We start from the raw sequence: 11,363 nt of genomic DNA on the forward strand, positions 1-11,363 counted from the left end.
GAATTTGACTTTCTCATAGAATGTTGTGTCACATTGATTTGTGAGTCACCACAGTCAAACACTCCAGATGTCCCCTCAGCCCCATAGCTCTGGGTCCCACCTCAGAGCTGTGTGCCCTCCTCATTGACTCATGACTAATTTTTTAACCTGCTTTTCTCAATGCTGACATTTATGGAAGTCTAGACACATCGGTGGGTAGAGAAGACACCCACAAGGGTACCGTGGTGAATATCAACAAGTGTTCCATAATCAGACCAGGACACTGGTGGGCTGCTGGGAATGTGGAGCAGAGAAAAACTGTTTGAAGAAGACAAAAGAGTAAATAGCATTCTTGGCTGAGTAAGAAGAAGGGAAGAGCACTGTGTGGATCTCAAATGGCCCAATAGATATTGGATCTCTCTTAGTTTGGAAGAGGGCAAGAGGAAAGTGAAGGAAAAAGTGACTAGATAAAGGGTCAGCTCTGGTATTTCTTGAAGACCTCATCTGTGCTCAGCTTTGTTCTGAGAGGCAGGTGCAAGGGAAAGACATAGCTCCCATGTGGGTCTCAGACAAGGGTGAAGGAAGAAAAGGCAAAGTAAAGCATTTCTGGATGCAAGATGTAAAATATAGTGATCCACATACATCTTCGTTTTACAGGTGATTCTATTTTGTATCTCATATAAGCTGAACATAGTGGGTGGAAGAGATTTTTGACCTGTTGGCCTCCCATGAATGGCCAAGCCCAACGGTGGGTTGTATTTCACTGAATTGAATTAAACCTTAATCCCACACTTACATACACATACATGTACATACATGCAGACATACATACATTCTTTCAGTTGAAATCAGGAAACACTGTTGAATTAAGGATTTTTTAAGATTGTAAAACATTGCTGGGTGTGGTGGCTCACGCCTGTAATCTCAGCACTTTGAGAAGCTGAGGCAGGTGGATCACTTGAAGTCAGGCATTCAAGACCAGCCTGGCCAACATGGGGAAACCCTGTCTCTACTAAAAATACAAAAATTAGCTGGGCATGGTGGCTCAATTGTGCTCAATCCCAGCTACTCAGGAGGCTGAGGCAGGAGAATCACTTGAACCCAGGAGGTGGAGGTTGCAGTGAGCTGAGATCTCACCACTGCACTCCAGCCTGGGTGACAGAGTGAGACTCTGTCTAAAAAAAAAAAGATTATAAAACATCGTCACATTTTTTTTGCCAGGATTTTGACAGCAATTGCATCAAACCTGTGTATAAATTTGGGGAGAATTGACATCTTTACTCTGTTGAGTTTTCCAATCCACGAACATAGTATGTCTCTCCATTTTAATTAGGTGTTTGATTTCTTTCATTAATGTTTTGCAGTTTTCAGCATACTCCTGTATATGTTGGGGTTTTTTCAGATTTTTTTTCTGTCCCTGAGACATTTTATTTGTCAATATGTATTACGTCTCTAGAAAAAGAATCCCAGGATTTTCTCTCCTGTGTGTTTTCAGCTTCCTTTTTCATGGTCCATGATGCCAGCTGAGGTTGTCAGTACAATAAAACCAAACTGGCAGGATGGGAGCAGATTATTTTGTGATTTTTCTGGATCTTTGAGGTGGACGTCACATTTGGGGCTGATCACTCCACAATTATTTGGCCTGTCTGTGAGGTTCACAACAATTTTCCCAGCTCTGTGATAATCAGTGATTTCAAATTCACCAATGTGACCATGCTTCACCATCACAGTTAGAAACCGGACAGTGACTTTGGAGCATGGCCTAATAAGAACCTGCCATTTGCTTCATCAGCATTGTTGATGCTTTTGAGAGCATCAACGAGGACATTTATGCACACCATTGTGGCAGCACAGAGAGATGGCAGAAAGAGCTAGATTTACACCTAAATATTTTATTTTTGAGCAATTATAAGTGGCATTGTAATTTTAATTTTGGTTTCCATGTGTTCATTGGTAGGATATGAAAATGTAATTGATTTTCGTATGTTAATACTATATTCTGTGACCTTGCTGAACTCATTTACTAGCTCTAGGAGTTTTTGTTGTAGATTCCTTGGAATTTTCTGCATGGGTAATCATGTCATCTGCAAGTCGGGACAGTTTAATTTCTTTCTTTCTACCCTGCATGCCAACTGATTTCTGAAAAAAATACAAAAGTAATTCAATGGAAAAGTACAGTCTTTTCAACAAATAGTGCTGGAGCAATTAGATATCTATGGGTAAAACAAGCAAGCCAAAAAAACACAGATGTAACCCAAAAAATATTACCAAAAACCTAAAATAGCTTGACTTAACTTTACAACCTTATACCTTACACAAAAATGAGCTAAAAATAGATTATAGATTTAAATGTAAACTATAAAATTATAAAACTTTTAAAGAAAACGTGGGACCTCCAGAATTCCTAGAAATGATAACAAAAGCACTATCCATAAGAGAAGAAAATAAAAAATTGGGAAATTAAACTTCATTAAAATTAAAATGTTTTACACTGTGTAAGATCTTGTTAAGAGAATGAACAGACAAGCTACAGACTGGAGGAAAATATTTGCAAGCCACATATCTGATAAAGAACTCATATCTAGACCATATAAAGGAATCTCAAAACTCAACACTAAAAAAAAAAAAAAAGAAATAGGCAAAATACATGGAGTGACATTTCACCAAAGATATACACATGAAATAATGTACAGTATCACTAGTTGTCAGGGAAATGCAATTAGGATCATGATAAGATATCACTACACACTCCTTAGAACAGCTAAAATAAAAAAATAATAACGATACCAAACTCTGGTGAGGATGTGGAGAAACAGGATCTCTCATATATTGCTGATAGGAAAGTAAAATCGTATAGCCGCTCTGGAAAATAATTGATCAATTTCTTTGAAAAACCATATACTTGCCATATATCCCAGCAATTACACTCCTAGGGATTTGTTCAAGAGAAATAAAAAAATTATGCTCACATAAATCCTCTATATGATTGCCCACAGCAGCTTTGTTTGTAATAGCCCCAAAGTTGGAAACAACCAAAATGTTCTACAAAAGTCTAACGGTTAAATAAATGGTGGTACATACATTACATGAAATACTACTCAGAAATGAAAAGAACTATTCATACATGGAACAACTTGGGTGGATCTAAAGGGCACTATTCTGAGTGAAAAAGGCCAATCTTAAAATGATATATATTGTATCATTGTGTTTACATAAAATTTCAAAGTGAGAGAAGTATATAGTGGAAACAAATTAGTGGTTGACAGAGGTTAGCGATGGTGGGGGGCAGAGGGGAGAGAAGGTGTAATTCTAAAGGGATAGCATTAGAAAGATTTTTGTGGCTATGAAACAGTACTTTTTTTTTTTTTTTTTTTTTAAGACAAGCTGTCACTCTGTCACCCAGCCTGGAGTGCATTGGCTTGATCATGGCTCACTGCACCCTTGACCTCCTAGGCTCAAGCAATCCTCCCATTTCAGCCTCCTGAGTAGCTGAGACAAAGGCATATGCCACCATACCTGGTTAACTTTGTTTATCTTTTGTTTATTTATTTATTTATTTATTTTTTGAGACAGCGTCTCACTCTGTCACCCAGACTGGATGGAGTACTGTGGCAGGATCATGGCTTACTGCAGCCTTGACCTCCCAGGCTCAGGTGATTCTCCCACCTCAGCCTCCCAAGTAGCTAGGACCACAAGTGCACACCACCACACCTGGCTAATTTCTGTATTTTTTTTTTTTTTGTAGAGACAGGGTTTTGCTGTGTTGCCCAGGCTGGTCTGGAACTCCTGGACTTAAGCAATCCACCCACCTTGGCCTCACAAAGTGCTGGGACTACAGGTGCATGCCACTGCACCCAGCCAAATTTTCTTTATTTTTTGTAGAGACAAGGTCTCTTTGATGGACATTTAGGGTATTTCCAATTTTTCACTATTATACACAATGCTGCAATAGTCACTTTTATAAACTTCTTGACCGTGTGTAGAAGAATTTTTTGGAGACATATTTTGGAGTGGAGTAACATGGATTACATGTTAATTGCTCTCCAAGGTGGTTTTCCCCACACCATATGGAATTCCTGTTGCACTATATCATTGCCAGGATCTGGCAGTGTTTTTTCTTTTTTTGCCAATCTAATGGGTATGAAATGGGATTAGAGGCCAGGCACAGTGGCTCATGCCTGTAATCTCAGCAGTTTGGGAGGCTGAGGCAGGAGGATTGCTTAAGCCCAGGAGTTTGAGATCAGCCTGGGCAATATAGTGAGACCCTGTCTCTCAAAAAAAAAAAAAAAAAATTAGCCAGGCATGGTGGCTCATGCCTGTAGTCACAGCTAGTAGGGGTGAAGGTGAGGGGAGGGGATATAGGGGTTGGAAGGTGCTGAGGTGGAAGGATCACTTGAGCCCAGGGAGGTTGAGGCTGCAGTGAGCCATGGTCATACCATTGCACTCTATTTTTTAATTTCTTTTTTAAAAGGGTATTAAAATGTATTTAATAATTTATCAATAAAGGTCTTGCACACCTATTGTTAGATTTATTCTTAGATACTTTCTAATTTGATTTGCTATTGTAAATTACATTTACAAAAATTAAATGTTCTAACTTTGATAGTGGTATATAGATTATAATTAAATTTTGTATAATAATTTTTCATCCCAGAAGTTTGTTAAATTCGCTTACAAATTTTAATTAATTTTAAAATCATCTTGGGCCTTCTATGTGGACATCATATTATTTTGGAATAATTACAGTTTTATACTTCAAATAAAATACTGAATAGAACAATGAGAGTAGTATCCGTACCTTGTTCCTGATTTTAAAAATAAATACTTCTATTTCACTGTAAGTATAAGGTTTTTGGTAGCTATTAAGATCCCTCCTATTTCTAGATTAGTAAGTTCCTAATGCATTTTTAAGCAAAAGATTGCCTCTACTGAGTTAATGATGTAGTTTTTCTATCTTCTTCTGTTAATGTGATTTCTTGTATGAGTAGCTATTCTGGTATTAAATTTTCCTTGCCCTCGTGAGATAAATCTTACATGGCCTTAATTATACTATTATTATTTTAAACATGATTTGATTCTGTTTGTTAAAAATTTTTGTTTAACATTTTTTACATCTATTTTTCATAAACAAGGCTGGCCTGAAATGTTTCTTTCTTATACTATCTTTGTCTGATTTTGGAATCAAAATTTTTAAAGCCTCATACATTGCTGTGTTTTCTTCTTTTTTTCCTTCTCTGAAACAATTTGAATAAGATTGCATTTTTTTCTTGAGGTTTTGGTAGAATATACTTGTAAGATGATATGGCCCAGAAAGCCGTCTTCCCCCTCTTCCTGCAAATGAGTTTTTAACTATTGATTTAATTACTTTAATGATTAGTGTCTATTCTATTGTTCTTGGGTTAGTTTTTCTAGGTTTTGCTAGAAAAGTGGCCATTTTATTTAGGCTTTCAATTTTGTGGTTATAGAGTTTTCATCCTTTCTTATTATCTAATATATGCATTTAAGACTACAGATTTTCCTCTGGTATAGTTTCTGAAGTTTTGACTTGTAGTGTTCTCATTGTAAAAATATTTTCATTTCCAAATTTTTTCATTTCAAAATACTTTCTAATTTATGTAATAATTTCTTTTTGACCTATAGATTATTTAGAACTTAGTTTCTTAATTTCTAAACATTTGGTATTTTTGTTTGTTTGTTTTTTTGCTCTGTTGCCCAGGCTGGAGTGCAATGGCACGATCTCGGCTCACTGCAACCTCCGCCTCCCGGGTTCAAGCAATTCTCCTGCCTCAGCTTCCCGAGTAGTTGGGACTACAGGCGCGTACCACCATGCCTGGCTAATTTTTTTTTTGTATTTTTAGTAGAGACGGGGTTTCACCATGTTAGCCAGGCTGGTCTCCATCTCCTGACCTCGTGATCTGCCCTCCTCGGCCTCACAAAGTGCTGGGATTATACGCGTGAGCCACCGCGTCCGGCCAACATTTGGTATTTTTTTTAGTTATATTTGTTTTATATTTACTTTTGGCTTAATCTTTTTTTTTTTTTTTTTTTTTGACGGAGTCTTGCACTGTCGCCAGGCTGGAGTACAGTGGTGCAATCTCGGCTCACTGCAACCTCTGTCTCCTGGGATCAGGTGATCCTCCCACCTCAGCCTTCTGAGTAGCTGGGACCACAGGTGCGCACCACCATGCCCAGCTAAGTTTTTGTAGAGACGAGGTTTTACCATGTTGCCCAGGCTGGGATTAATCACATTTTAATCAGTGAAGATGCTCTATATTATTTCAATATTTTGAGAATTATACAAATCTACTTTATGATAATTATCAGTTTTTATAAATGTTCCATATATGCTTGAAAGTGGAGGTTTTTGCACTTACTGTTTCATTAGGCCAAGTTTGTTAATTTTATTGTTCCTCTATTTATTTATTTATTTATTTATTTATTTATTTATTTATTTATTTATTTATTTTGAGATGGAGTCTCGCTCTGTTGCCCAGGCTGGAGTGCAGTGGCGTGATCTCAGCTCACTGCAACCTCCGCCTCTTGGGTTCAAGGTATTCTCGTGCTTCAGCCTCCCGAGTAGATGGGATTACAGGTGTGCACCACCATACCAGGCTAATTTTTTTGTATTTTTAGTAGAGATGGGGTTTCGCCATGTTGGCCAGGCTGGTCTCAAACTCCTGACCTCAAACGATCTGCCCGCCTCGGCCTCCCAAAGTGCTGGGATTACAAGCGTCAGCCACTGCACCCAGCCCACCTCTTCTTACTCTTATCGATTTTTTTTGCTCATTCTAAGTTACTGAGAGAAATACGTTAAAATTCCCCATTATGTTTGTGTATTTGTATATTTTTCTTTCTAGATCTGTCAAATTTGCTTTTCATATTGTTTGTGTTATTAGATGCATACAAGTCTAAAATTGTTATAGTTCTCTCATGAATTGTACTTTTTTTTTTTTTTTTTTTTTGAGACGAAGTCTCGCTCTTGTCTCCCAGGCTGGAGTGCAATGGCACGATATCGGCTCACTGTAACCTCCTCCTCTTAGGCTCAAGCGATTCCCCTGCCTCAGCCTCCCAAGTAGCTGGGATTACAGGCAACTGCCACCACGCCCAGCTAATTTTTGTATTTTTAGTAGAAAAGGGGTTTCACCATGTTGGCCAGGCTGGTCTCAAACTCCTGACCTCATGTGATCTGCCCACCTTGGCCTCCCAAAGTGCTGGGATTACAGGCATGAGCCACTGCACCCGGCCTGAATTGTACTTTTTGTATTATGGAGGAACTCACTTTTTCACTAGAAATCCTTTATCATCAATTTGTTTTGCCTGATATTAGTATACCTGCAATAGTTTTTTTTTTTTGGTTAACATTTGTATGCTGTATATTTTTCATTCTTTTCCTTTTGATATTTATGTAACCTATGTTTTAGAGGTGTATCTTGAAAACAGCCTATAATAGAGTTTAACTGATAATATTTGACTTTTTAGCTGGAGCTTATAATTCTTTTACATTTATTTTAATTAGCAACATATGTGGATTTATATGGACTCTTATATTTCATGTGTTTTGTCCTACCTGTTTTATGTTTCATTTTTCTCCCTTCTGGACTTCTTACAGGATGATTTAGCACATCTTCATTTTTTCTTTTTTTAAAATATAACAAACTCCCATGTACCCACACTTGGATTCAACATGGCAAATCTTGTTTCATTTATAACTTTCTCTCACTTCTCTCTCTTTCTAGATTATTTTGAAAAGAAAAAGACATTGTATCATTTCATTCTTATTTTTTTAGAATGTATCTCTATGATAAGAATTCTTTTTTTAAAAAAACGTACGACAACACTGTTATTTCACCTAAAATTTAACAATTCACTAATATTATCAGTATTATTTTTTCTGGTTCTCTCTCTCTCTCTCTCCTACAATTTCTTCATTTGAATAAGGAGCCAGTAAAGATCCACTAATTCCAAGTCATTCATATGCCCCTTAAATCTCTTTTACTCTCTGATTCCCTTCTATCTCTTCTTTTTCTGTGATTGCCGAAGGACTGGGTAGTTTTTTCTGTGGTTTCCCACAGTCTGGACTTTGCCGATTTCATTCTTATTGTATCAATCAATGTGCTCCTCTCATTCCTATATTACCTGTAAATTAGTAGTTATATCTAGAAGCTTGATTTGAGATTAAGATTTCTTTTCAAGAACTCCTGACAGGTTATTTTGCATACTTCCATCAGGCAGCACAAAATATCTCTTTTTGTGATATTAGCTGACATTGATGATCATTACCTAGGTATATTAATTCGTTAGGGGCTACACAATATGGCGATATTATAATTCTATTGTTCCTTCTTCCTTCTTCATTTATTAGCAGGAATACCTCTACAAAGAGAAACTTCCCTTCCTCTCCTATTTGATTATGCTGGAGTACAGTGAGCTAAGACAAATACCTAATTCTTTCCCTTTGTCAGTTTTCTAAATAGCAGTTTGGTTCCCTAGCGTCCCCTAAAGGTGACCAAGGAATTATGAACCCTGTATGTGTAAACATAGTTGATGTGGGTCAATCTGCTGCCATTATTTTCCTTATTTACATATACATTTTTCCATCTTTGGCCAGTGTAAACCTCTATGGGTTGGCTCCTGAGTCCTTTTTGACACGAGCCTAGTAGTTTTGATAGCTGCCTTTCTTTCCATATGACAAGATGTTTATCCATCTTACGGCATGTCATGCCTTGACTTGGAGTCAGCCATTTCTTCAGGGAGTCCTGGTTTCTTTTAGTGAGAATAGTGTTTGAATCCCACAATCTGGGTGCTAGGGTGCTCATTGCCATGGGTTGGTCATTGTTTCTAAGCCTTTTCAGTGAACAGAGTTAGAAAATATGTAACTAAAGAAAAATATATAATACATCGTGAGTTTATACTGGTATTTTCAATTCAAGTTGAAATTCAGGATTACAGACTTTCACTTAACCTCCTCCATTCTTCCACACCAAAAATCCTGATTTACAACACCCACAAAATTTCTCATTTGATTTCCCCATAAATAGTTTAGAATTTTTTTGTCATTTTTTCCTTGGCCCTGAGCCTATATCCCTCTAGGGTTGTTCAGTTAAATTATTTGGGTGATTCTTTTGTGTTTGTGTCACCAACTAGATGGCATAAGTTACTTTAGGTTAGGTTCATTTATGTAAATCTGCATTTGATTTTTAGGGATTGCTTTATAATTTTCTTATAATTATATAAAGCATTTATATAGTTTCATGTATTCAGCAAAACCTGACTTCTATTCCTGTTACCTCCACAGTATTTCTTTGCTCCCTTATAGGAAACAATTGAAATATTTTTATATCGTATTTTCCTATTATTTGTTCTTAATATAGGCAAAAATGCGTATATGTTTATAACCCCCTAGCTTTTCTTAGATAAAATGATAACATACCATACGTGTTTTTCTCTGCCTAGCCTTTTTCACTTAGCAACATATCCTGGAGATCACTACATAGGATTATGCCTCTTTGCAGCTGTATAGTAGTCTATTTGTGAATGTACCATACAATATTTAACTAGTCTTCTGATGATGGATGTTTGGTTTGTTCGGGCTTTTGCTGTTATAAAGATTGTTACAATGAATAGACTTGTGTATGACTTTTTGTATTTTTACCAATGTCTCTTTGAGATTGATTTCTGAATTAAAGAATGAATATATATGTAATTTTGCTAACTATTGACAAATTCACTTCCATAGGGGTGTATGTGAGAATGCCTGTTTCTCCACAGCCTTTCCCATAGGATATATTGTCATACTTTTGAGCTTTTGCCAATCTGAAAGGTGAAAAATAGCACCTCAGGGCAGTTTAGTTTGCATTTCTCTTTGTGAGCAAGGCTGCACATCTTTCTAAATGTTTAATGCCATTTTCCTAGTTTTCATTTTTAAAATTCAGGTAACTCGCATATAGTAACATTCATCCTTTTTAGTTTGTGATTTTGAGTTTTGATAGATGCAAATTGTTGTATAGCCACCAGTACCTTCAAAATATAGAATCAATTCATCATCCTCCACATTTCCCCTGAGCCTCTTGGAAGTCCAGTCTTCCCCTTCCTCCTACTACCCACTGATTTTTTTGTTTCTGTAGTTTTGCTTTTTAAAAAACTACTGTATTTGGAATAATACGGTACATAGCATTTTGAGTCTGACTTTTTTTTCACATAGTGCAATGCATGTGAGATGGGCGTGTGTATCACTGGTTCATTTCTTTTTATTACTGAGCGGTATATCATTGTATAGATTTACCACAGTTTGCTTATCCATCTCCTCGCTGGAAGACATTTAGACAGATTCTAGGTTTTGGATATTATGAATAAAGCTGCTACAAATATTTACATGCAGGTTTTCTTGTATGCATTGATTTTCATTTCATCTGGGTGAATACCTGGGTTATATAGGGCAAGAGTATGTTTAACTTCATGAGGAAATGCCAAACTGTTGTCTAAAGTGGCTGTGTCAGGTTTTTTGATTGTAGGGTGGGAGGTGGGGGGGTTGTCTTTTTGTCATTTTAATAGGTGTGCAGTGGTATGTCATTGTGTGTGTGTGTGTGTGTGTGTTTTGGTCACCCAGGCTGGAGTGCAGTGGCATAATAAGGGCTCACTGCAGCCTCTACTTCCCAAGTAGCTAGGACTGCAGGTGTGTGCCACCATGCCTGGCTAATGTTTTTGAATTTTAGTAGAGATGAGGTCTTGGCCTATTGCCCAGGCTGGTCTCAAACTCCTGGGCTCAAGTGATCCTCCTGCCTCGGCCTCCCAAAGTGCTAGGATTACAGTCATGAGCCACTGTGCCTGGCCTCATTGTGGTTTTAATTTGCATTTGCCTAGTGATTCATGATGTTGGGCATCTTTTCATGTGTTTACCTGCCATTCGTATGTCTTCTTTGGTGAAATGTATGTTTAAATCTTTTGCCCATTAAAAAAATTGGGTTGTTTGATTATTGTTGGGTTTTGAGAACTTTTCATATATTCTAAATGCAAGTTATTATAAGGCATGTGATTTGCAAATTTCTCCCAGTATGTGGTTTGTATTTTCACTCTTTCATAGAGTGAAAAAATTTTAAATTTTGGTGAAGTCTGATTTCTTAATTTTCTCTCAAGGATTGTGCTTTTAGTGTTGTAGCTAAGAAATTGTTGCCTAATCTAAGGTCACAGTGATTTTCTCTAAGTTTTTCTTCTAGAAGTTGTACACTTTCAGCTCTTACATTTACGTTTGTTATCGATTTTTAATTTTTTTTTTTTTTTGAGATGGAGTTTTCACTCTTGTCGCCCAAGCTGGAGTGCAATGGCACAATCTTAGCTCACTGCAACCTCTGGCTCCCAGGTTCAAGTGATTCTCCTGCCTCAGTAAA

General features: G+C 37.1%; 1 pseudogene; it reads right to left on the reverse strand.

The window, feature by feature from the left end:
• RPS15AP22 (ribosomal protein S15a pseudogene 22) lies at positions 1,393-1,850 on the reverse strand (annotated as a pseudogene).

The sequence above is a fragment of the Homo sapiens genome, chromosome 7 (genome assembly GCF_000001405.40).
Source record: "Homo sapiens chromosome 7, GRCh38.p14 Primary Assembly".
NCBI classification, from domain to species: Eukaryota; Metazoa; Chordata; class Mammalia; order Primates; family Hominidae; genus Homo; species Homo sapiens.